Source organism: Homo sapiens, chromosome 20, assembly GCF_000001405.40.
Source record: "Homo sapiens chromosome 20, GRCh38.p14 Primary Assembly".
Lineage (NCBI taxonomy): Eukaryota > Metazoa > Chordata > Mammalia > Primates > Hominidae > Homo > Homo sapiens.
Window position 1 is genome coordinate 36,171,866 of NC_000020.11, and position 25,630 is coordinate 36,197,495.

Genomic DNA, 25,630 nt, shown 5'->3' on the forward strand with positions numbered 1-25,630 from the left:
CTCATGTAATATGATAGATTTAGAGGAAGGGCCTGGACTCAGGGGTGAGGGTTCCTGCTCATTTCTCTATTTCCCTGGTTTTAGCTTCAAAGCTTTTTTTTGAGGATCTGTTGATTGGGGGCAGGAATGGGTGCATCTGATGCCCCTCCGCCACCCTACCTTTCTAAAAAGCCAACTTGTACGTTTAAAAAAGTACGTATGTATATTTTATTTATTTATTTTAATTTAATTTTATTTTTTTGAGATGGAGTCTCACTCTTATCACCCAGGCTGGAGTGCAGTGGCTCAGTGAAACCTCTGCCTCCTGGGTTCAAGCGATTCTCCTGCTTCAGCCTCCCCAGTAGCTGGGATTACAGGCATGCATCACCACATCCAGCTAATTTTTGTATTTTTAGTAGAGACGGGGTTTCACCATGTTGGCCAGGCTAGTCTCGAACTCCTGACCTCAGGTGATCTGCCTGCCTCGGCCTCCCAAAATGCTGGGATTATAGGCATGAGCCACTGCTCCCGGCTTATGTATGCATATTTTAAAAGATAAAAGTACTTCCAAAACATATAAAGTGAAAAGTGAAGTTTTCTCTCTTATGTCACCCAGTTCCCAGGGATCTCTTTCATTTTCCTTTACCCACTTCTGCCTTACCAACCTCTCTTAACATTGGTAAGTATCCTTTCAGACCTTTTACTAAATGTGTGCAAACACAAACATATGTTGTTGAGGTTACTGTTTTGTTTTTCTTTTTTCTTTTTCTTTTGGAGAAGGAGTCTCACACTGTTGCCCAGGCTAGAGTGCAGTGGTGCAATCTCAGCTTACTGCAACCTCCGCCTCCCAGGTTCAAGCGATTCTCCTGCCTCAGCCTCCTGAGTAGCTGGGATTACAGAAGTGCGCCACCACACCTGGCTAATTTTTGTATTTTTAGTAGAGACGGGGTTTCACCATGTTGGCCAGGTTGTCTTGAACTGCCGAACTTAGGTGATCCGCCCTCCCTGGCCTCCCAAAGTGCTGAGATTACAAGCATGAGCCACCGCGCCTGGCGTGTTTTGTTTTTCAAATATAAAAATGAGACCATGCCATTCTCTCTCTCTCTTTCTCTCTCTGTAACTTGCCTATTCCAGCAGAATAGCTGGGCAATGGGTCCTTGACTCTCTGAAATCTCCTCATTTACTGCTGAAAGGGGAAAATGACAAGAATAGTTTATCCCAGAAAGCATTTCTCTACGTTGCTCATGTTTTGGATGAGTCTGAGAGAGGTGAAGTGACTGCCACATTTGTGGCCAACTCGGGGACTGAGCCTGTTCTTTTGACTTTTACATCGTCAAGCCTGCGCGTTTTTTTGTTTTGTTTTGTTTCAAGTTTCTTCCTGTCATTCTCTTTTTGGATCTATTCTGTGAAGTTAGCAGGGCAGGAATTATTGAAGCTTGGGGTATGAAGAGGTGTGTCCAGCTTCAGCACTGGAAAGGTCTGGAACCCAGGGTTCTTTTAGTTAAATTCTGTGCATCCAGCTTTGCTGAGGGTCTACCAAGCGCCAGGTGAGGTGGCTGGAGAGACAGCCTGGCTTGGACCCTGCCTGGAGGCGGCCACTGGCAGCCCCGTGTGCTCCTGGTAGAGCAGGGCTCCCTGGAAGGACTCATCATCCCTATGAAAGGCCCAGAGATTTGAGTCCCTGAAGAGCTGCAGACACAGGGTGGGAGGGGTGCCTGTGACTTCAGCCACTAACCCCTCACCTCCCATGACCCTCCCTCCTCCCCACTTCCTCTGTCTCTCCCTTCCTCCTCCCTTTGCCCTGTGACTCTTTGTCCGTTTGCCTCCATCTGTCTCTCTCCGCGTGTGGTTCCTGCCCCTCTCGCTGTCATACCATTGCTGTCCCTCCCTGTCACATGATCTCCTTCATGCCAATGCAGGCGTGCTGGTCACCATGACAACAGAGACAGGCCCCGACTCTGAGGTGAAGAAAGCTCAGGAGGAGGCCCCGCAGCAGCCCGAGGCTGCTGCCGCTGTGACCACCCCTGTGACCCCTGCAGGCCACGGCCACCCAGAGGCCAACTCCAATGAGAAGCATCCATCCCAGCAGGACACGCGGCCTGCTGAACAGGTGTGTGCCCGAGAGCATGGGCGTACCTTTCCTGCCCAGACCGTCCTCCAGGTCCAGTTCTTAGGGCTCCAGTATTTTTTCTGGAGGGAGGAAAGAAGGAAACTAAGATTTATTAGTGACCTGTTACATGCCAAGCACTGTGCTGGGAGCATTGTTGTTATTTTATTTTCTTTTTTGAGACAGATCTCACTCTGTTGCCCAGGCTGGAGTGCAGCCTCAATCTCCCAGGCTCAAGCAATCCTCCCGCCTCAGCCTCCTGAGTAGCAGGGACAACAGGCGTGCACCACCGCACCTGGCTAATTGTTTTAACTTTCTTTTTTTTTTTTAATTGAGTTGGAGTCTCGCCCTGTCACCCAGGCTGGAGTGCAGTGGTGCCACTGCACTCTTCGCTCACTGTGACCTCTGCCGCCCGGGTTCAAGCAATTCTCCTGCCTCAGCCTCCTTAGTAACTGGGATTACAGGCATGCACCACCACGCCTAGCTAATTTATATATTTTTAGTAAAGACAGAGTCTCACCATATTGGCCAGGCTGGTCTCAAACTCCTGAGCTCAGGTGATCCACCTGCCTTGGACTCCCAAAGTGCTGGGATTACAGGTGTGAGCCACCATGCCTGGCCTTTTTTTTTTTTTTTTAACTTTCAGTAGAGATGAGGTCTTGCTATGCTGCCTAGACTGGTCTCAAACTCCTGGGCTCGAGTGATCCTCCCACCTTGGCCTCCCAAAGTGCTGGGATTACAGGTGTGAGCCACCATGCTTGGCCCATTGTGGTCATTTTAAAATTTTATTCTCTCAGACTAAAGAGGGTAGCTACTAACTCCCCCATTTTACACCTGGGGAAACTGAGCACCAGCAGGATAAAATGAGTTATCCAAAGTCACATTGCCATAAAGTAACAGAGGTGAAGACAAATCTAGATCTGATTTTGAAGGCTGAGTTCTTTCCATTTATTTTCCTACCCCTGAACCTGTCTGTTCTAGCTTGGCCAGCCCCATGTAACCCCAGAGCAAAACCCATTGCCCTAAAGCTACAACAGACTCACCTCCTCATCTAATTAACACCTTCCTTAATTCACGACAGGCCTGGAGGGGGCAGGGACTTGGCCAAGATCACTGAGGGCATCAGCAGTGGAGTTAGGACCCGGGGCGGGCGGCGGTGGGGCAGGTCTCTGGCCTTTCTCCTCTCCTTTAACTCAGTCCACAGCTCCCAGACTCCTGCTAGATCCAGTGACAGACAAAAAGAAGGAGACCAGATGGATGCTGTGATGAGTCATGTGCTGCTCTGGGGAGACAGGGCAGCTCTGGCCACTGGCTTTGGTTTCATGGGATGCTCCTGCCTCAGAGGATGCCTATGGCAGCAGTAGCCTGCAGGGAAGATGGGGACCCCTCACACAAGGCCACCCATTATGCATGGAAGCCCTGGCTCTCCTCCTGTACACACCAGCCATGGACCCTAGTTGCCCTGTGGGTCTCAGACGGTAGCGACTTTCATTCTGGGGTCTGTCTTGGCCCCAGATGCCTCTATATTGCTTCTTACTTATATGAAAGGCCATGGCTTAAAACTCACTGAGCAAACTATTCCCTTGCTTGGTCCTGCAGAGCCTAGACATGGAGGAGAAGGACTACAGTGAGGCCGATGGCCTTTCGGAGAGGACCACGCCCAGCAAGGCCCAGAAATCGCCCCAGAAGATTGCCAAGAAATACAAGAGTGCCATCTGCCGGGTCACTCTGCTTGATGCCTCGGAGTATGAGTGTGAGGTGGAGGTAGGGGAGCACTGAGTGCCATATGTCCCGTCCCCGGTCAGCCAGCCTCAGGTCCAGGGCAGGCTCCTGTGTGTACCCAGCTTGGGCCAAACCAGAGGAGTCCTGGACCAGTCACAGTGTCCAGAGAGATGACCTGGCTCGGAGCTCCTTTGTACAGATGGTGGCACCAAAGCCTGGAGAGAGTGGTTATGATTGCAAATAGAATTAGACGAGGTACAGGGCTGGCACCAGGGGAAGATTTTGCAGGGTGACTATACCTTGGCAAGGATGCCACCATGTAAGGGCTGATCTACAAACAGTAGACCTGGGAACTGGGCTCCCCTATTCACCCAGGAGAGACTGACATTTAAATTAGAATCATTTTTATATACTGGGTGGAGAGAGGGCTCCTCCCTTCCTAGTGAATGTCCCTGTCCAGGGCACCATCTCAAGTCTCCAGGACAAACTAGTCACCTGAGGGTTCTATGGCAAGCCCATCACCACGTCACAGGGAGGCGGCCCATTGGGAAGATGTCACCCAGGCCATGTAGAAACCCTGTGGTATGGCCCTGCCCCATGGTGGTGACACAGCAGATGCCTCCTTCTGGGTTTGGCCCTCCTGGCCTCACATTTAGGTCTCCTTTTCCTATATAGGTTCTGACTCCCGCCCTAATTCTGAGCTCTCGCTCGCCCCCTCTGTGAGCCCTTAGAGGTTCTATCCCTGCCGAGGCAGCATTCGTGGCCCTTCTCCGCATGTGTGAAAGGGCTCAGAGGGTGTCCTTGCTACTGAGATATATAGGAGCTGCCCCCTTTTCTCTCCCATGCACTGATTTTAGGGATGTGGCTTACTCCTGAGCCCTGGGAGGCTGAGTCCCTCTTCTCTACAGGGTTTTGATTTGTTTTGTTTTTATGTACATGTATTTTTTCTTTTTTTTCTTTTTTTTTTTTTTTTGTTGAGACAGAGTCTTGCTCTGTTGCCCAGGCTGGTGTGCAGTGGTGCGATCTCAGCTCCCTGCAACCTCAATCTCCCAGGTTCAAGCAGTTCTCCTGCTTCAGCCTCCTGAATAGCTGGGATTACAGGTGCCCGCCACCACACCCGGCTAATTTTTGTATTTTTAGTAGAGACAGGGTTTCACCATGTTGCCCAGGCTGGTCTCAAACTCCTGGCCTCAAGTGATCTGCCTGCCTTGGCCTCCCAAAGTGCTGGGATTACAGGCATGAGCCACTGCACCCGACTGTGTATGTATTTTGTCTATAGAAAGATTTCACCTTCCCTGCTCCTGGGACAAAGGAAAGGGCTGTCTTCTATGTCCTCTCTCCTACCTTGATGGGCCCCAAGATGCCATTTCTGCCTGTCCTAGAAGTGCACAAAGCATTTGACTGAGGCTAGGTCCTCTCTCTCTGATGATCTCCAGGTTCAGGAATTCCTTGTCAGGCTTGGTCCCGAGGGCCCAGCCAGACCTTACAGGGGTCTCACTCCCTCTCTAGAGTCCCTGCCTCTTTGGGTGGTGACTGCCTCCTGTTCCCCTGCCATGTGATCCCCTTATTGGTGCTCATCTTTACCCCTGTGGGTTTGGAGTGCCCAGTCGGGTTCTCGGCTTCGTCATTCTGAATGGTGGTTCAGAGAGGCCCAAGCCTAGCTCTACAGGAGTGGGAGGAACCTACCTGGCCCTAACAATGGTACTTCCAGCAGAAGCTGATGGAGGCCCCATGAGCCTCTGTGAAACCTCACTGGCTGTGGGGAAGGGAGTGGTGGGCTAGCCTGGGCTGCCCTGGATTTCACTCAGGGAAGGGAGGGTCACACTGTGACCCTGAGCCCCAAGCCCTCCCCTTCTCCCCCTGCCCGCTTCTGTCATATTCCAGGGGCGGCTTCTCTTCCTCTCACACCCAAAGCTTAGGACTTGCTTTTCTGCCCCTTCGGTCTAAGTTAGCCTCCTTCTCCTAATCACTAAAAAGGAAGGAGAAAGCCGTCACTTCCTATGCCTTCCACTTCAGCTTCTCCCCAAGCAAGCTCAAAGTCCAGAAACCACCACCAGAACTTGGAAGAAGGCCATCAAGGAGCTGGCCATTGTTGTCACCCCCAGGATCCCTTAGGACTCAGAGGGCAGAGCCAAGTGGGTGGCAGGAGCGCTGCATTCCTGTCCAGACACCGAAAGGCCCTTGGGGTTTTTGAATTGTCCTGGTGGAGCCCAGGGTATCTCCCAGCCTCGCCCCGGGGTGTGCTTCAGCCTCATAGCTGCTCTGCTTCCCTCCTTAGAAACATGGCCGGGGCCAGGTGCTGTTTGACCTGGTCTGTGAACACCTCAACCTCCTAGAGAAGGACTACTTCGGCCTGACCTTCTGTGATGCTGACAGCCAGAAGGTACCTGGGCTAGGGAGCAGGGTGGGACCTGCTCTTCCGTTAGGCTCCTGTAATCCTGGCCACCCCCAACAGCATCCATTAGTGCTCAAATCATTAAGCATCTTCTGTTTGCGTGTCCCCAAGGCTCAACCAGCCCTATCCACCTGCGGTTCCCTGTCTCAGCCATTTCTTGGTGACATACAGGTCACCCCCAGATGAGAATTTAGAGAGCCCTGGTCTGGCTGCTAGAGTTGCTGGGGGAGCTGAGGAGCTCCCTGCTAGAGCTTCTCCCCTACCCTTGGGAGGCTCTGAGTTTCCTTCTTCCTGCCAGTCCCATTGCAGATGCATCACCTGCTCACTGGGACTGCCTCAGGGCAGTGGCAGCTCCGGGCACTGGGTCCAAGCCTGGTGGTGAATCCTGGCCCCATTCCCCTCACCCCCTAGTCCCAAGGAAAAGGAACCAAGAGGCTTAGCCAAGGAAGGGCGTTCCCTACAAGGGGCTGCTGACCAGCCATTTCAGGATATTTCTCTCTCTCAGCCCAGTCAGGTCCTTTCCTGCGTCTTCCCTCTGAAGATCTCTATCTTTTCTTTTAGAACTGGCTGGACCCCTCCAAGGAGATCAAGAAGCAGATCCGGAGTGAGTGGCTTGTTGTGTTTGGGGAGGTGGGTGGGTGAGGGGATTCCAGGCCATGAGAGCCCCCCTTGTACTGCTCTCTCCTCCTTTGGAAAGTGCATTTCAGGCCAGGCGTTGTGGCTCATCCCTGTAATCCCAACACTTTGCGAGGCTAAGGCGGGTGGATCACTTGAGGTCAGGAGTTCAAGACCATCCTGGCCAACATGGGAAAAGCCTGTCCCTACTAAAAAAAAATACAAAAATTAGCTGGGCGTGGTGGCGGGTGCTTGTAATCCCAGCTACTCGGGAGGCTGAGGCACTGGGACTGCCTCAAGCGATTCTCTTGGACCTGGGAGGCAGAGGTTGTGGTGAGCTGAGATCATGCCACTGCACTCCAGCCTGGGCAACAGAGCAAAATTTCATCTCGAAAAAAGAAAAAAAAAAAAAAAGAAAGAAAATGCATTCAGATCCATGAGTCCGTGTACTCCACATGGCAGATCTTGGGAGAAGCCAGAGTGGGAAGGACAAGTCTAAGGCCCAGAGAAGAGAGACGACTGTGCAGAGTCACACAGCAGGTTAGCAGAGGAATCATAAATACATTCAGGACGCCAGCTCTAGAAGGGACCTGCAGAGCCATCTAGGACAAAGGACAAGCAGATGGGCTGGAAACAGCCACCCTTCTGTCCAGGAATGGTGTAGTCTTCAGTAAACAATGACCCTTTCCTCAGAGGCCCAGAGAGAGGCAGTTATTACCTAAGGTCACAGAGCCAAATGTTGGCTGAGCCAGGTCTTGAGGCCTGGTCTTCCAACACCATCCTGTGCTCTTTTCAAGGCCTGGGGTGAAGGCAGATGAGCAGGCCAACAACCTGTCCTTTCTGGCCCAGAGAGAGAAAGCATGTCGGGAAGGGATGGGGCAGCTCCCAAATGGCAGAAGGGGGTGGTAGGTGGCCTCAGCAAGGCAGCCTGAGTAGTTGGAGACCTGGCGCCTCGAGGCAGAGATGCCTCCACCCAGGGCCCCTCCCCCTTGGCTGTGGTTGGTCTCTCCTGAACTCCCTGGTCCCCTGGCTGGAAAGCTGTAGCTGAGCCTGTTACCATGACAGCGGGCAGCTGGGCCCAGGGATGCCAGCTGACTCTGCAGGAGGGGGCTCGAGGAATTCTTCCTGAAGGTTCTGTCAGTTGGAGACAAAGAGGCAGGCACACAGACAGAGTGCACTCCTCGGGGGGCTGACAGATCCTCCGCCTGGGCTTCAGGCTGTCCCCCAGGAGCCCCAGCCTGGCTGGGAGGCCTGTCTCTCATGACTAAAGGGATCGGAAAACATATAGGCAGCCGAGTGTGTGGTGTTTGGTCAGGACCAGGAGCTTGGGAAAGACAGGTGGCTGGACCAAATGGTCAGGTCTCAGCATCCCTCCCAGAGGTGGCCTGCAGCCCCTGCCAGCACAGCCCAGGCCTGGTGGATGTCACTCCTTGTAGCCATCCCAAGTCATCGAGTAAGTCTTGATCGCTAGCAAGTACCTTATCCAGGAGAGCCACAGTCTCTGCCTCTACCCCTGTAACTTCCAGCCATTTATCCTCATCCTACCTTCTGGTGCCCCAGTGGAGCAATTTTTTGCCCTCTGTGACAGCACCTCAGCCTTCTGAAGGTGGTCCCATTGGTCCTTGTGGCCTGAGCTTCAGAGTTGGGTGTATCTCCTCCCAAACCTCAGTGCACCTGGGGCAAGGTAGGGCAAAGTAGGGCACCTGGGACAAGCTTTCCACCCCTCTGGGCCCCTGCTTCTCCTTGGCCAGTGGATTAGTAGTTCCTGCCTCATGAAGTGGGGGTGACAGTTCAATGACATATGTATGGACAGCACCAAGCACATAGTAGGTGCTCAGTAGCTGTTTTCTTCTTGCTTCCCTGAGGCAATCTGGTGTGATGGTTAAGCAGACAGACACTGAGGCCAGACTGCCTGGATTTGAATGTTAACTCCACCTGCTTCTTGTGTTGACTGTGCCTTGGTTTCCTCCTCTGTAAAGCAGGGTAGTGCTAGTACTTATATTTATGTTGTTGTGAGGGTTAAATGAGTATTACATGTAGAATGGTGCCTGCACACAGTAGCACCCAGTATGATTAGCTATTATTTATTTTTATTATTATTATTGATTATTACCATTATTATTCCTGAGGTAGGAATTCCTGAGACCATTGTTATTCATTGAAGCTGCTCTTTCCAAGGAGTCGGTGTGGTCAGGAGCCTGGGCTCTGGGGCCAGATGGCCAGAGTTAGGATCCCCATTCTCTACCACTGACTAGCTGAGTGACCCTGAGAGAGTGACATAACCTCTCAGAATTCATCTATAAAAAAGAAAGTCAACTTCAGGATGATTATGAAGATCAAACCCCTGTACATGTGCATAAAGTTCTTAGCAAGCACAGTGACTGGCATCTAGTAAGAGTTTGAGATGTGACATCTGTATGGTGCAGATGGTGGTTACCGCAGAGACAAGGATGGTAGTGATGATGTGGCCTCCAGTGGTCCATGACCACAGCCCTGCCATGGATGGGCCTCGCTTTCTCACTTTGTCAGGGGCCATTTTGAGCCTGGAACCTGAAATGTTCCAGGGGTGGGTGGTCTGACCATTGTTGTGGATATGTAGACTTTCGCTAATTTTGTCCAGTACCTCATATCTACCTGCCTTCATCCCCTCTCAAGTGACCACCCCTTCTCTGGGCTTGCAGAGCTTGCTTCCAGCTATAACCTCAGCCTTTATTCCCCTGTGTATCTTCTTAGATGTGTGCCATTGGTTTTTCACATCTAAGTGTGGAGGTTAGCATTTATCCCCCTAAAATATCCCTTTGTTACATTTAGCCCATTATATTTACCTTTTAGGTCTTGTTTATAATCCAATCCTGTCTTCTGGTCTTGTTTATAATCCAATCCTGTCTTCTGAGATGGAGTCAACATGATATAGGGCAGAGTTTTCCAACATGTGTTCTGAGAAACATTAATCTTTCAGGATGCTCTGTGAAAAATGGATACAACAGATCAAATCATTTTTGGAAATTCTTGAATGCATGTTCCCCTCAGAGAGTTGCAGTGCACAGTAGCAGGGTGAGGGCTCTGACAAGTCCAAATTTAGGAAACCTGTTTAATGTATTATCTAGACTTTTTTCTTATCATTAACATCCTGCAACCCAGACTAGGTTGTAGACCAAGGAGCCAGGTGGCCTGGGTTTGAACCCCAGCATTGCCACTTCCAAGCAGGGTGACCTTGGGCTAATTTACTGCCTGGGCCTCAGTGTCTTCATCTATAAAATGGGGCTAATCATAGGACTTACTCATGGGGTTGTGGTGAGGTTTACTGAAGTAATGTTTGTAAAGCAATTAACAGTGTGCCTGGCATGCAGCGTCAGTTTTCTTTCTTTCTTTCTTTCTACCTTCCTTCCTACTGCTAGCTCACGAGTCTCTTAACTTGGGCCTCAGTTTGCTAATCTGTCAAATGGGAATAATGTTCCAGCCTTCCTGATTGGATTGTCCTGAGATTATACATAGGAGAAACTTTGAAAAACTGCCCAGAGGATGGTGCATCTGGACCACCCAGTGGGGTGTTAGGGCCTCGCTGATCTCTCTCCCATCTCCTCTCAGGTAGCCCCTGGAATTTTGCCTTCACAGTCAAGTTCTACCCGCCTGATCCTGCCCAGCTGACAGAAGACATCACAAGGTGAGGGCTGTGGAGGGAGAGACAGGTGTGCTGGCTGTGTGGGACTATGGATGAGGGACCCTGGCCCTGGGGACACAGGCAGTATGTGACAGCAGCTGCAAATGCAGTCGCCTACCGAGGTCAGGCAGACAGCATCGTACACAGGAAGCCGACTCATTGTAAGAAACACAGTGATGCAAGCACAGTGGTCAGTGGCAGCTGACCCTTGATGTCAGAGGAGGAGGTATCACAGGGAACTGTGGGGCCTTTTGTAGATTTAAGAGGACAGAAGCCACCTAAAACAGTTGCTGTTCCCCTCCGGGCCATCACTGTCATGTAGGAATTGGGCCTGATTGTTGAAATGAACCTAGAGATTAAAGAATAAAAACCACAGTTCTAAATGTTGGCAACAAATGCAAACTTTAAAAAAACATAGCATGGGCCATCTCTGGGTGGGACATACCAAACCCATGTAAAAGCTGCTGTGCTGGGTGAGCCACCAGTTTGCAGCATTGGGAGTATGGAGAGGGTAGAATGGGATGCCTTTGAACGTAGAACTTTGGTCTGCATGCCACTCTGTGCACACATCAGGCACATGGAAGTCAAGTGGGGCTTAGGACTCCCCACAGAGAAAAGCCTGGGCTGTTGGGGCAAGCGTGGACTGTGTGTGCAGTCTCGTTGTGCCTCAGGGCCAGTAGATAACATGGCCTGAAGATTGGAAATGAGTGCAAAGCATCCTTCAGGATGAGAGCTTCCGTGGGGTTATCCCATTTCTGGAAACCAGAACGGGGGAAGCCCTTCTCTTAAGCCCTTTCCAAAGAGATAGTCTCACTTCATGATATCCTGGGGCTGTGTCATCCAGGTGATGGGCCTTATACTCCCAACATAAAATATGGGCTTGGAGTTCCCCTACAGCAGGGGAAGGGCTCCTAAGCCAGCCCCTCTCTCCCATTGGGTCCCTCCTTCATCTTCATGTTGATTGCGTGTTTGCCAGGCCATCGACCAAAGGTCAAGGTGCTGACTCTGGCCTTGGGAGATAAGACAGATGTTCCTGGAACAGATCAGGCCTGGGCTTTGGCGTCATTAGTCCTAGTTCTGAGCCCTGAGGTCAGGTGCGGGCTAATGTGGCAGCAGCAAGATCTGAAACTCCATTCCCAAGTGGACTGTGTAGGTTAGGCCAGCACAGCCTCAATCCCCCTGGTCTTCCCTACTGATACCTCTCCTGTTTGTGCCAGACACTGGGCACTGTGCTTCCAGGGACACCAGGAAGGAAGTTAGGCCTGCCTAGCACAGATGGCCCCAGGAGATGGGTGCTATAGCAGCTGATTTCGCCAAAAATAGTTAGGCCCGAAATAAACTGGTCAAAATGACAAATTGATTGAAATGAAAGATTGGTCAGAATATTTGGCAGTGATTTCTGAATTTTGAGACTTTTGAACAGAATGCCCATAAGCCTGTACTCGGTGCCTGTGATGTTTGAGCTGCTACTGATTCTGAGTCTATGCCTTGGCCCTGGGCGCACACTGAGGCTGCACATACTTTTTGCCAGGACTTCAGTTCTGACTGTGAAATAATGTCACCAAGTAGTAAGAATTATTTTAAGTAAAAGATACTTAAAAGAAAAAAGCCCAGATATGGTGGCTCACACCTGTAATCCCAGTACTTTGGGAGACAATGGCAGGAAGATTGCTTGAGACCAGGAGTTTGAGACCAGTCTGGGCAACGTGGCGAAACCTTGTCTCCACAAAAAATACAAAAATTAGCTGGGCGTGGTGGCATGTGGCTGTAATCCCAGCTACTCAGGAGGCTGAGACAGGAGAATCGCTTGAACCTGAGAGGCAGAGGTTGCAGTGAGCTGAGATCGTGCCACTGCACTCCAGCCTGGGTGACAGAGTGAGACTCCATCTCAAAAAAAGAAAAAAAGAAAAAGAAATAGGCAGTTGAAAAAAAATGGTGAAACATAACAAAAATGGACAGGGAGGCATCGTTGGCTAAAAATGAAACTTTTTTTTAATACATAGTAACCAAAAAAGCAATAAAAATGGTTTTAAATGGTTCTAAAATTGTAAAATCGTCCAACTGTGCATAAAAGTTATAAAAAATCATGGCCTGGTAGTTGGAAATGTTTCTTTAAACCAATTTGTTTTCAGACAATTTACTTAGAGCTGGAGGCAAAATAAGAAAGTTTTGGGAAAGCATTGGCAAGCAGGTTCATCTGGGACATGGAATACAATGTGGAAGTTAAAATGAATGGGGTAGAGTCACATGTGCTGACATGGGAGGGCTCTAAGGCCTGGGTATGAAAAAGTGAGCTGTTAGAATCAGAGACAGCATTTGATGCCATTTACAGGTAAGAAACACCCATAAATCAAAACCACATACATTTCTGGTCATCAAGAGGAAATTTAGAGTCACCTCTAAAGTGTGAATTTTTCCACAACATGAATACAGTATATTACTTGTATAATTAAAACTATACGACATTTTGTAATGGACAAACCAGCAAAGTAGTCCTATTTAGCTTGAAATTGAGTTAGAAATTGAAAATGCTGTCATAATAGAAAACAAATCCCTCAAATTTAGAAATGCACAAAAATGCTTAAAGTCATGTGAAATGTTGCAAAACCATCTCATGAGACATACCCAGATTGTCAATATATGAAGCGCCAATGTCTACAAACACACTTTTCTGCTGAGCTATGTTCTATTTAGTTCTGATGGACAGCTGTGCTTGGGGGATCTAGGGAGGAGTAGGGCCCTGTGCCCATGCTGGCTCTCCCCTATCTCCAGATACTACCTGTGCCTGCAGCTGCGGGCAGACATCATCACGGGCCGGCTGCCATGCTCCTTTGTCACGCATGCCCTACTGGGCTCCTACGCTGTGCAGGCTGAGCTGGGTGACTATGATGCTGAGGAGCATGTGGGCAACTATGTCAGCGAGCTCCGCTTCGCCCCTAACCAGACCCGGGAGCTGGAGGAGAGGATCATGGAGCTGCATAAGACATATAGGTAAGAGGGTGCCAGCCAGGGCCTTCTGTGGCTCCTTGGCCAGTGGGAGCCTTCCTTGCAGGCCTGAATGTCCTAGGCCGCCACATACTGTGCTGTTTGTACCCCGCCTGGCTCTGCCCCTAGCTTGAGGTATATCTAAGAGCAAATCATCTCTGTAAATAGGAACGATAGTGACTGGCTGTGTGGCCTTGATGACCTTTTGGGACCCAAGTTTCTTAAGCTCCTCTATAGGTGTGATAATTCCCTGTCCTTGGCCTCTGAGAATAAGTTTATCTGCCAACTGGAGAAAATAATCGCTACTGTGTCTCTGAGTAAGTGTCCTCATGTCTAGATCTTGGTGTAGAGTTCAAAAGTTTGGACCCGAAAGCCAGCCTGCTAGGGTTCCTATACTGGCTCTGCCACTTTCTAACTAGAGGATCTCAGGAAGGTCATTTCACTTCCTATGCTTTGGTTTCCTCATCTGTTCAAGGTGGATGCTGTTAAACCCACCCTGTAGGATTGTTGGGAAGCCTAAATAGCACATATTAAAGGCACACTGCATGTTGGCTGTTAGTGTTGCTGTCTGTGGATCGAGGGGTTGAACAGTTGATCATGCAGGGGAAAGTACCTCGTTCCAGCAGTTGGACGATAATTAACTAGTGTGATTGTAGGCTGGTTATTTAACCTATCTAAGCCCCATTTTTCACCTGTATATGCACAAAGTTAGATTATCAGTGTCTCTCAACTATTGGCATTTGGGGCAGGAGAATTCATTGTGCAGAATGTTCAGCATCCCTGGGACCCAGTAAATGCCCATAACACCTTCTCAGTCCTTGTAACAACCCAGATACTCCCCTTTGCCATTGCTTCTGTACAGGTTCCCCTGGAGAGGAGCCCTTGGAACTAAATGATTTGTAGGGTCCTTTTAAGCTGGAAGTATTTGGGGCTGTAAGTCCAGGATTGTTATGGGGACTCAATATAATTAATAATGTGAAGGTGCATTATAAACTGTAAAGTGCGGCACCCAGGGAAAGGAGTATGGTGATATTGTCTCATTACTATTGAGGATGGAGGGAATTAGGAGGCCTTGGTTCTGTGGGCGTTATCTGGAGAGGAGGGCTAGAGTCAGATGTGGAGGGATCGTGTACGTGGGGAAGAGCCTGCTGGGGTGTGATGAATGCTAGGTCAAGGGTGGCAAATGCTGTCTCTGAGAGTCGCACACTAACTCCACTTGGTTAATAGCGACTGCTGTGGTGTTGTGTTGAGTAGGACACTGATTCCCTACAATGCCCAGGTTAGCAATATCCACCTGGGCATAGGAATAGGGAGTAGTGGCCTGCCTGCCATCTATTTGTCATCCCTGTCCTAGATAGCAAGACATCTTAGGATTTGCAAGAGTCATAATAATTCAGAGAAAGATGTTCAGATCAATATGGGCTGGAGAAATACTAAGGGCTGTCCCTAAAGCTCTTTGGACCTAAAGCACACTGACATCTCGTGTCCAAGTATCCCACACAGCAGCCCAGAGGTAGACAGGTCACAGGAAACTGAGGCCTGGAGGATACACAAGACCTGTAATGAAGTGATTAGGAGCATAAACTCTGAAGTCACATTGTCTAGATTCAAATTCTGACTCTTCTTCATAGCAGTGTGACCTTGGACAAGTTACTCAATGTCTCTGTGCCGGTTTTTTCATCTGTAAAATGACAATAATAATAATACCTATCTTACAGAGTTGTTATGAGGATTCAGTGAGTTAATATGTGTAAAGTGCTTAGAACAGTAACCAGCACATAGTACTCAATAAATGTTTGCTGTGACTAAGTATAAAATGTAGTCCAAGTTTCCTGGCAGCCAAAGCAAAGAAGGAACTTGATTAATTACATAACTCTTCTTTTTGGAAAGGAGAATGTGCACCTGTTCCTTAGGAGAGATTAAGTGGCTTCTGATACTAAATTCTGCAAGAAATATCCTGTGTGGGTAATAATTTAGGAGCCCCTGGGTGATGATAATGAACAATGTCCGTAACAATGGTTTTACAGTCATGGAAAAGTAGAATTTATAGCTCACAGTCAACTCAGTGGCAGAATGAGGCAAAAATCCTGACTCCCAGCTCAGCCTTTGTATGATCCCTGGACTAACAAGACTGGACTTGAGCTTTGGCAGAAGTTGGGGGTTGGGTGGGCTGAAGTGGGAGTTGGGGTACACCCTCCTGCTCTGAGGGCAGAGGGAAAAGATTAGGGTGAGGCTCAGCATATTTGACTTTCTAGAATCATGGGTTCTGATGGTGGGCACCTTTGGACAGCAGGACTAAACCTGGGCCTTTCCCTTGGTCACCTGTGATCACTTTCTTTCCCTCAGGGGGATGACCCCGGGAGAAGCAGAAATCCACTTCTTAGAGAATGCCAAGAAGCTTTCCATGTACGGAGTAGACCTGCACCATGCCAAGGTACCACCAGCTTCCTGGGTTCCCCTAGTGTCTGGGTGGTGCCCCCAAAGAACTATCAGGCCTTTCCCTAGGGCGTGGTGTGCCAGACCCTGTGTTACCTCCAACTTGAAACCTTTTCTGTTCTCATTCTCATTTCTCGAAGTTCCATAACCTTTTATTTTCTCATGATCTGTATTATTTTCTCCATGTATTTTATTTATGAACCTGTTTGAGCCACTGCTAGATTGGGAGCATTGTGAGGGAAAGACGTAGGCCTTAGTTTATTTCTATATCCCTAGCACCTGGCACATAGCCTGGCACCAAGTGTGTGCCACTAAATATTTGCTGGATGAATGAACGATTGAGTGATTGACAGAGCAAATGATCAAACAAGTGAGTGGGTGAAAAAAATACCTAAATGGATGAGTGAATGACTGAATGACTATGGGAGGGATTGGTCAGTGGGACTCCAGCATGGAGGCTCTAACCCTGTTCCTGAGAGCTCGTTACAAGCAGCGCACAGGGCAGTGTTTTCGGGGTGGGTGGTAGGCTGTCCCCAGGCATGGACCCCGGGCCTCCCATTCCATGGTCTCTTCTCATGCAGGACTCTGAGGGCATCGACATCATGTTAGGCGTTTGTGCCAATGGCCTGCTCATCTACCGGGACCGGCTGAGAATCAACCGCTTTGCCTGGCCCAAGATCCTCAAGATCTCCTACAAGAGGAGTAACTTCTATATCAAGATCCGGCCTGGGGAGGTGAGTCTGCCTTGGGAAACACTCCTCCTCACCGGAATCAACTAGAATGGAGTGGACCCTGGCAGCTGGGCCTGGACTGCCAACACACACACACACACACACACACACACACACACACACACACACACACACACACACACACAGAGAGAGAGAGAGAGAGAGAGAGAGAGGAGTCTAAATAAAAGTATAACCACATATGGCCAGGTGCAGTGGCTCATGCCTGTAATTCCAGCACTTTAGAAGGCCGAGGAAGGTGGATCACATGAGGTCAGGAGTGTGAGACCAGCCTGGCCAACATGGTGAAACCCCGTCTCTACTAAAAATACAAAATTAGCTGGCACTGCACTCCAGCCTGGGCAACAGAGCAAGACTCTGTCTCAAAAAAAAAAAAAAGGGAGAAAAAAAAAAGAAGAAATATAACTACATACATTCAGGTCACACAGATAAATGAATACATGTCTGTGTAAAGTTCATGTATTTAGGTGTTGTAAGTATGGAAGTTTGTACACATTTTAAGATACACAGACTCGACTATACATACAACACACACAAATGCAAACATGTATATGTCTACACCTCTTTTCCTTCAATTACCTACATCTCACCCATCAAAAAGCCCATTTGGTTGTACCTGTAGAATAAACATGAACCCATTTGCTTCTCTTCCTCTCCATCACACCCGCCTCCAGCATCCCCCATCTTTTGCCTGTGCCTATGAGGGCCTTCTCCCTCGCCTCTGGTGCTCTCCAGGTCATTTTCCTCATAGCTGCTGGAGAGATCTTAAAAAGTCCCTTAAATCAGATCATGGCAAGCCCACTCCCCCTTCCCATCCACACCCTTGCTTACACCTTTCAGGAACTCTCTTTAGCTCTTGAGCTAAACTTCAAACTCCTTCCATGGCCACCTACCTCTCCCACCTATCCCTTGCCACACTGCCCCATGCCCAAGGTGCTTTAGCCTCTTCGGCCTTGAGATCTTTGAATAAGTCGAGCTCTTTCCTGCCTGAGTGCTTCGCATTTGATGTTTCCTTTACCTGAAAGTATCTCCCCCTCTCGCTTCTCACATAGCTGGTTCCTTCCCATTCTTCAAATGTCAGCTCAAGATCACCTAGATCTAGGTCTAGAGGGGATCCCCTGCTCTTCCTTAGATGACAGGAGCCCCTATGCCTTCCCAGTTCTGCTGCACCACACATCTCCCTTCATTCCCCTTGTAGCCCTGATCAGTGTCTGCAATTATCTTGTTTGCTTATTTGTTATTGGAGGTCCCCTTCCCCTACTAGAATCTTCTGCCTTGGTCTCCATGTATCTCTAGTGTTTAGCACTGGACCCGTCACAGAGTAAGGGCTCAATCACCCTTATTGATTCAGTGAATGAACAGGCCAAAGTCGCAGATGCCTGAGAAGAGTTCAGAAAGAATGACTCACGTCTGTAATCCCAGCATTTTGGGAGGCTGAGGTGGGAGGACTGCTTGAGCCCAGGAGTTGGAGACCAGCCTAGGCAACATAGTGAGACTCATTCTCTACAAAAAATTAGCTGGTGTGGTGTCGTCTGACTGTAGTCCTGGCTACTTGGGAGGCTGAGGCAGGAGGATCTCTTGAGCCCAGGAATTCAAGGTTACAGTGAGCTATGATTGCGCCACTGTACTCCACCCTGGGCAAATGATCGAGACCCTGTGTCTCAAAAAAACATTAAACAAATAAAATAAAAAACACAAAGAATGGGCTAGTGGCGAGAGTGAGCTCAGGCCCTGCCTCTAACCTGCCCTTTTGGTTTTCCAGTATGAGCAATTTGAGAGCACAATTGGCTTTAAGCTCCCAAACCACCGGTCAGCCAAGAGACTGTGGAAGGTCTGCATCGAGCATCATACATTCTTCCGGTGAGCCTGACCTTGGATGGGGTAATGGGGATGGGGCAGAGGCCATGTGTATGGAGGGGAGCAGGGGGAGGAGTTAGTGAGAACTCTAGGAAAGTCCTCCACCCTTTCCCCAAGTCCCTCCCTTCCTGGACCACTTTGAATTGTTGTAGTTGGTGGAGTAGTGGGATGAAAGGCCAGCTGTGGTCTAACCTTGGGCCTGGCAGTGCAGGTCTGATTCCTCCTCCTCCCCTGCATCCCTCTGCTGCAGGCTGGTGTCCCCTGAGCCCCCACCCAAGGGCTTCCTGGTGATGGGCTCCAAGTTCCGGTACAGTGGGAGGACCCAGGCACAGACTCGCCAGGCCAGCGCCCTCATTGACCGGCCTGCACCCTTCTTTGAGCGTTCTTCCAGCAAACGGTACACCATGTCCCGCAGCCTTGATGGAGGTATGGCCCAAATTGGAGGGCTGGGCGGGGAATGGTCTTCAGAGGGAACTGGGGGAGTGGGCATGCTGGGTTCTGCAGAATGAGCAGGAAAATGGTAGATGCATCCCAAGTTCATCTGCACCAGGCTGGCCCCTCAAGACCAGTGCTGTCCCTGGGCAGCTCTTGGTGGCTTAGTCCCAACCTAGAGCTCACTCCCACTTGAGATGTGATACTACCACTCTCTGGATTCCCCACAACTTCCCTGAGTCGTGGTCTTTTGGGGTCCCAGGTTTAGCCATATGGTTTGGGCCACCTACCCAAGAAGCTTAGCAATCCACCAGTCTAACCTGTGGTCTAACCTTGGGCCTGGCAGTGCAGGTCTGATTCACCCTCCTCCCCTGCATCCCTCTGCTGCAGGCTGGTGTCCCTTACACTGGTCATCATCATACTAGGAGAATAGTGTCTTATGACTGCAGTGTGGAGCTGATGATGCCTTATCTGCTGGGAGGCCAGGGCATCGTTCTTGGTCATTCTTTTGGTTCTACTAGGTTCTGGGCTGATTGACAATCTAACCACATGGCACTCTCCACTGTCCCCATTTCTATTGGATTGATGGGTGCCCTTAACATCAATGAAAACTGGCCCTATATAGTCCTGTAGCAAGCAGATAGGGCTTAAAATGTGGTGCACAAACCACGTTTCATCAGAGTCGCCTGTGAGATTGTTAAGCAAGCACGAAAATTCCCAGGTTTTGCCCCAGACCTACTAAATCAGCACCCTTCAGGGCCCAAGTCTCTCCCCAGGATGTACACACTAGAGTTTGTAGGTGATGTTCGGAAGTCACATGGGTCACTGGGGAGATTCAGAATTATGCAGATCTGAGTTCAAATCTCGGCTTGACAGTCACCGTGGGCTGTTCTCTGGACACTGGAAGTGGTTCATAAATATCTGAATGAATGGATGGGTGACCTTAAGCAACTTATTTAACTCCCTGAGCCTATTTCCTCTTCTACAAAATACATAGTACCTACTTTGCTGTGTTCTAGGGAAAACTAAATGAGATCATGCCTAGAAAATATTCTGTGGCACATAGTAGCACCTTAAGAAATTGTACCCATCATTATTGTTTTTAGGTTTGTAGAGAGTGGCTTAAAGGTGGGAAGTGGGGGCTGGGCATGGTGACTCATGCCTGTAATCCCAGCACTTTGGGAGGCCAAGGCGGGCAGATCACCTGAGGTCAGGAGTTCGAGACCAGCCTGACCAATATGATGAAACCCCATCTCTACTAAAAATACAAAAATTAGCCGGGCGTGGTGGCATGCACCTGTAATCTCAGCTACTCGGGAGGCTGAAACAGGAGAATTGCTTGGACCTGGGAGGCAGAGGTTGCAGTGAGCTCACACCATTGCATTCCAGCCTGGGCAACAAAGCGAGACTCCATCTCAAAAAAAATAAAAAAAATAAAAAATAAAAAGGCCAGGCACAGTGGCTCACACCTATAATCCCAACACTTCGGGAAGCCAAGGCAGGTGGATCACGAGGTCCAGAGATCAAGACCATCCTGGCCAACATGGTGAAACCTCGTCTCTACTAAAAATACAAAGATTAGCCAGGCATGGTGGCAGGCGCCTGTAGTCCCAGCTACTCGGGAGCTCAGGCAGGAGAATCACTTGAACCCGGGAGATGAAGGTTGCAGTGAGCCAAGATTGCACCGCCACTGTACTCTAGCCTGGTGACAGAGCAAGACTCCGTCTCAAAAAAAAAAAAAAAAAAAAAAAGGTGGAAAGTGGGGACTTGGGTAGGGAAACCGTGGATACTCCCAGAACACCTTGGGGCAGGCCTCCAGGCAAGTTAGTTCTACTTATATTTTCTGAGTGTTATATGTGTGCCAGGCCTTGTGTTGGGTCCTGGGTATAGTATTTAGAGTGAATAGGTTTGGTCCTTTCCTTTGAGGAGCTCATAGAATAGCAGGTTTGTAAGCATTTGTTGTGGTTCAAGCAATGGGAAAAGCATGTGTAGAATGTAGAGTAGCCATGAGGAGGGAGGAATTAAGTCTAGAAGGGACAGAAATGGCTCTGCAGAAAGGGTGCCAACTGGGCAGGGTTTGGAAGGATACCTAGGAGTTTGCCAGGTGATTAAGAAAGTCTGATACTTTGTCTGGTATATGAAAATGAGACCTGTCTCAGGACTCCTGTGCATGTTTGAAAGATGTGTAGTTCTGCTAGGGTTCATCTGAGGCTGAAGAAGCTCCTTCTTCTCCTTGGGTAGACAGAGGACTGACAACTGGGGTTTATGCAAAGGGAAAGGTCCCTCCCCTGTAGCTTCCATTACTATGTCAGGAGCCAAATGAAGCCCAGATTCTGGCAGGCAGCAGAGGTTAGCCCAGAGCTGGTGAAGCTCATCGGAGAGGAGCAGAAGCATGGACTCTAAGCTAGGAGGCCTTGGTCCCTGTCCCAACTCACCAAAAGGTCACCAGTGGGATATTTCCCCTCTTGATGTCTCCAGTCATCCTCTGTAAAATGGGGATAAGTCAGTCCCATTCCAGCCATCAACATAGGGTATTGTGTAAATCAAACGAAATATATGCATAAATGCGTACTTTGCAAAGTGAGTGTATATGAATAGAAAGGATAATTATCCTCTTTTAAAAATCTAGGCCAACCCCAAGGATAATCTGAGCTCTGGTTATTTTAAACCCGTGTTTTTCAGCCTATTTTCTACCAAGACACAATCCACGGGCATAGTCGGATTATGCCCAATGCGTGATGCGAAGTCTAGTTCCACCCCTTCCTTTCCTATTCAGAAAAGCATTTTGGAATACCAGTGAGTGAGAAAGGTGTTATTGCAGGCATCTCCCTGAATTCTCCCTAATTTATAAAGAAGGTAAATCAGTTGCAAATTTTAGGACTTTAGCTTTCACTAGTAAAGCTAGTCTCACAATATTTGTGTGTTGCTAAATGATGATCAAGTGAGTATTCTACCACAACCACCACAACCAAAACAGCAACATTTATGGGCTGCCATTGATGGAAGCCTCACTCTGTGCCAGCCACTCTTCCATAAATATTTATATACATTAGCTTGTTCATTCCTCACCTCCGCTTTCTAAAGCAGGCACTGCTTCTAGATGAGGAAACCAAGACCCAGCAATATTATGTAACTTACCCAAGGTCACACAGTCAAGAACAGATGGATTTGAGATTTGAACCCAGGCTCTAGTGCTGTAGAAACCAGGAAGGAGTCCTGGGCTGGGAGGCAGCTCTGCCACTCACTGGCCATGTGATCAGAAGTCTACTTCACCCCTCTGGGCAATGGGTGAGGGGTGTGGAAGAGTTGGCTCCACTCCAGGCGTGGTTGGGCAGGGCTGGGCTGGTTCTCTGTCTGTTCTCTGGGAGGGGTCTCACATGGTTGCCTGGCTATCTCCACCCACTTCAGCAGAGTTCTCCCGCCCAGCCTCGGTCAGCGAGAACCATGATGCAGGGCCTGACGGTGACAAGCGGGATGAGGATGGCGAGTCTGGGGGGCAACGGTCAGAGGCTGAGGAGGGAGAGGTCAGGACTCCAACCAAGATCAAGGAGCTAAAGGTAGGAGCCTGGCTTTCTCATACTCTCTGCCCTGGGGATCAGGAGGCTGACCTGAGGTCTAGCCTCGGCCTTGACCTTCACATGCCTCCAGCTGTGGCCAAGCACCCTTACTATGGAGTGCACCATGGCAGGGCCTTGCCTTTGGGTCATCTCTCAATACCTGGCCCTTGCCGGGATGGGGTGGGCATGGGAGTGGGCATGCTGCCTGTCCTGTACTCTCCCCAGCTTTGCCCTGCTTTTCCAGAGGGGCACTCTGTCCCCTAGAGGACTCAGGCCTCCTTTTGCACACTCTTAATTTGCCCCTCTGACTGGGATCTGGATCTGCACCACTCTCTTCCTCCTCAGAGCATGACCAGGTGTCACCAACAGCTCTAGGAGTGTGAGGTTCAAGTGTGTCCCCTTCCTATTTCCCCATGCCCCACTCAGGTGCACACACACAGTCCCAGTATCTGTGTGTACACGCTCATGCAGGATTGCATGACCTCAGCCTCACACTCACTTAATAACAGATGTATGCACCCGTCACCCTTAGATCCATGCACACAGATGTGCAAACAACATGCACACACACAGGTGTGTGCACACACAGGCCAGGGAGAGCTTCCTCTTGGTATAGTTGTTCAGCAGGTTTCTTTCCGTCTACCTTGTGAGCACAGGGCCTTGAACATGCTCCCACTGACAGCGAGAGCAGGGAACTCCATTCTCACATCCCATCTGCCCAGTGTGGCTCTGCCCACTTGGCCTCTAGTTCCCTTCTCTGCCTTCCTGGGACAGCACCCTGCTTCACACCTGTACCTTCTTCTGACTACCTCACTGCCCTGCTGGTGGCCCACCCAGCTGCCCTGGCCTCCACTTGGTCGAGTGTGCGTGCTCTGGGCTCCTTGCTGGACCAAGCCCATCGTGGTATCTCTAATCCATCTGCTCTACTGACCCTGCTGCTTTCTTTCCCTCCTACCACATCCCACTAGCCGGAGCAGGAAACCACGCCGAGACACAAGCAGGAGGTACTGCATGGGACCTGTCCCTCCCTACCCAGCCGTTCCCATCCCTAGCTCATTTGTCACCATCCCACAGTCCATCCCAGGCTCACTTCCCTGGCACCATCTCAGCTTCAACTTCATCTCTGCTCCCCAGCCATCCCCCTCTGCAGCCGTCCTTGCTCCCCACTCCGCCACCCGCTAAGCTTCTCTCTCCAGCTCCCTTCTTAGACTCTCCTGGCCAATCGGCCATCTCTCCCTCCTCCCTCAGCCCTCCCACCCTCTCCCCAGCTCACCCGGTCCTCCATACTTGCAGCTCACCTGCTGACCATCCCACCTGCACCACCAGCTCTTCCAGGCCATTCTGTGCTTTCATTTAGCACATCTCCCCTGACCCACCCCTTCCCTAGATTCATCTCCTGCCCGACAGCACTGTTTGGTCTCGCCTCCATCTCGTCTGTGTCCCCTGTGTCCTCACCCCTAGCTTCTTTTTGTATCTATTGGCAGTCAGATGTGGGAGTGGGGATTGGGGGTGGGGGAGGGAGGTGCCTCAGAGCACACCTGCATCTGCCCCAACTCCAGTCCTACACCTCCCCCAGGCAGGGTCGACTACTGCTCCGCTATGGCAAAAACCTCCTCCTTTTCTCCTCCTTTCCTCGTCTTCTTCCCATTTGTTGCTTCCCCCAAATTATTCCTTCCATGTTAACCACTTCTTCCCTCTCACACAGTCACCAACTCTTCATCTGAACTTTAACTGCAAGAGAAGTGGGTTTATTCTTGGGCTGCCAAGGTAAAGGGCCAGAGACTGGGACATAAGAAGAGCCTTGCCTTGGAGTCCTGAGATCTGGGTTTCAACCCCACTTCTGCCACCAACTCTTTGAAGGTCTTGGGAAATTCCCCTCAGGCCCCAGTCCCCTGTCTGAACAGCAAAGCATTCAGACTAGGTTTCTCCAATGCCCTTAACCTTTAGGGATCCCAGGACCCCAGGATCCCACTGCTCCCTACAGCCTTCAGGGACATAACACACCCACGGAGGCAGTGGGGCAGGTTTGTGATGGAAGACGACAAGCCACATCTCAGGTTGGGACTCACTACCCATTGCAGCCCAAACCCTCTCCCTGTGCAAGCACCATCAGGTTTGACTTCTCAGACAGCCATGGTCCAGAGGGCAGCTCAGCTTGGGAAGGGATGCCCGAGGAACAGACAGATGTCTGGAGGGAAAGCAGGAGCCTCACTGGGATTGGTTTCCTTCCTGAGGTAGCTTAGGAGTCAGCCATAGTGGATCCTTGGGTACCAGAGATGAGCCCAGGGGAAGATTCTAGCTTTGTCCAAGGGTAAGCTTACCTTCCAGTGGTTCTTCCAGAATTACCTGATCTGACTTTAATAAGCTGAGATTGTCCATTTCTTGTCCTGAATTGAGTTAACATGAATTTTTAAGCAGCCTTGCAGATAAGCGTCCTTGGGCTGCCAGCCACCACTTTGCCCCAGAAGTAGCCAGATAAACAGCTTTTGGCAGGTCCCTGCCAGCTCCTGCACAAAGCTCGTCCTCCCTTGACCTAAGGAGATGACTCTGTCATGCTGCACTGGCTGGGAACACTACCCATATAGGTAGAATCCTACAACTCTGGCTATACCTGGCTCAATTCTTGTGCCCAGCTGTGGGACTTACTGCTCTTCTTCCTGGTCTCTAATTCTCCTAATCTTCCTGAACACTCCACAGCATTCTAGTTTCTCTATCTGGCTGTATCTCACCCTGTCTGCTATTGGTGAGTCAGTACCTGAAAGGTATCTGGAAGGTCCAGGGTGGTTGGGGAAGGTAGTGTCCCATCACAGAGGAGACTAGATGCAATTTTTTCCTGCCCCTGGTCCCTAGTGTGGGAGCTTGGCCATTCTTCTGGATGTCCCTGGCTTGAGGAGGATCTGTACTGTGGGCCTCCCCAGGGCCTGAGCAGTTGTGCATGTTGGGCTAGGAGGGGCCCAGACTGGACATCCTGTTAAGTACAGTGGCCCAAGTCTCAGCCAGAAAGTGGACACTGGGATCCAGGAGGGATCTAGGAGGCACCTGAATGAGTCAGAGCAGCCCAGTGAATAGGATTAGTGAGTTATTATAGCTCTCTGGCAGTTGCTGCCTGCTATGCCTTAGTTGTAACAGAGGGAA

General features: G+C 49.9%; 1 protein-coding gene and 1 long non-coding RNA gene across 55 annotated transcripts in view, besides 2 other annotated features; one reads left to right on the forward strand and one right to left on the reverse strand.

The window, feature by feature from the left end:
• The window catches only part of EPB41L1 (erythrocyte membrane protein band 4.1 like 1), a 141,386-nt gene that overhangs the window by 80,452 nt on the left and 35,304 nt on the right, over positions 1-25,630 (forward strand). For 18 of the 54 annotated variants that reach the window (NM_001258331.2, NM_001258330.1, NM_001424407.1 and 15 more), the window contains 10 exons: positions 3,686-3,850; positions 6,087-6,191; positions 6,765-6,807; positions 10,407-10,482; positions 13,252-13,470; positions 15,811-15,898; positions 16,482-16,634; positions 18,412-18,509; positions 18,757-18,932; positions 22,347-22,495. In NM_001258331.2, coding sequence (NP_001245260.1) covers positions 3,695-3,850; positions 6,087-6,191; positions 6,765-6,807; positions 10,407-10,482; positions 13,252-13,470; positions 15,811-15,898; positions 16,482-16,634; positions 18,412-18,509; positions 18,757-18,932; positions 22,347-22,495 — 1,263 coding nt within the window. In that variant the 5' untranslated portion in view covers positions 3,686-3,694. Of the gene's footprint in view, positions 1-1,898; positions 2,090-3,685; positions 3,851-6,086; positions 6,192-6,764; positions 6,808-10,406; positions 10,483-13,251; positions 13,471-15,810; positions 15,899-16,481; positions 16,635-18,411; positions 18,510-18,756; positions 18,933-22,346; positions 22,496-23,463; positions 23,500-25,630 lie in introns of those variants that run through there. The other 36 variants (XM_047439972.1, XM_047439975.1, XM_047439985.1 and 33 more) reach the window with 6 other exon arrangements.
• Positions 1,794-2,496: an enhancer, noted in NCBI's record as "H3K4me1 hESC enhancer chr20:34761581-34762283 (GRCh37/hg19 assembly coordinates)". NCBI's record gives its function as "activates a minimal SCP1, AML or CMV promoter by ChIP-STARR-seq in naive H9 embryonic stem cells {active_cell/tissue: H9 hESC(naive)}" and the evidence as "EXISTENCE:reporter gene assay evidence [ECO:0000049][PMID:30033119]".
• On the reverse strand, positions 3,130-25,080 carry LOC124904892 (uncharacterized). Its single transcript, XR_007067571.1, has 3 exons — positions 24,817-25,080; positions 9,644-9,783; positions 3,130-3,304 (listed from the first exon to the last, which is right to left on the reverse strand). It is a non-coding gene; the product is annotated as an uncharacterized LOC124904892 (long non-coding RNA).
• Positions 11,362-11,656: an enhancer, noted in NCBI's record as "tiled region #2694; HepG2 Activating DNase matched - State 5:Enh, and K562 Activating DNase unmatched - State 5:Enh". NCBI's record gives its function as "activates a minimal TATA promoter and a strong SV40 promoter by Sharpr-MPRA in HepG2 and K562 cells {active_cell/tissue: HepG2 | K562}" and the evidence as "EXISTENCE:reporter gene assay evidence [ECO:0000049][PMID:27701403]".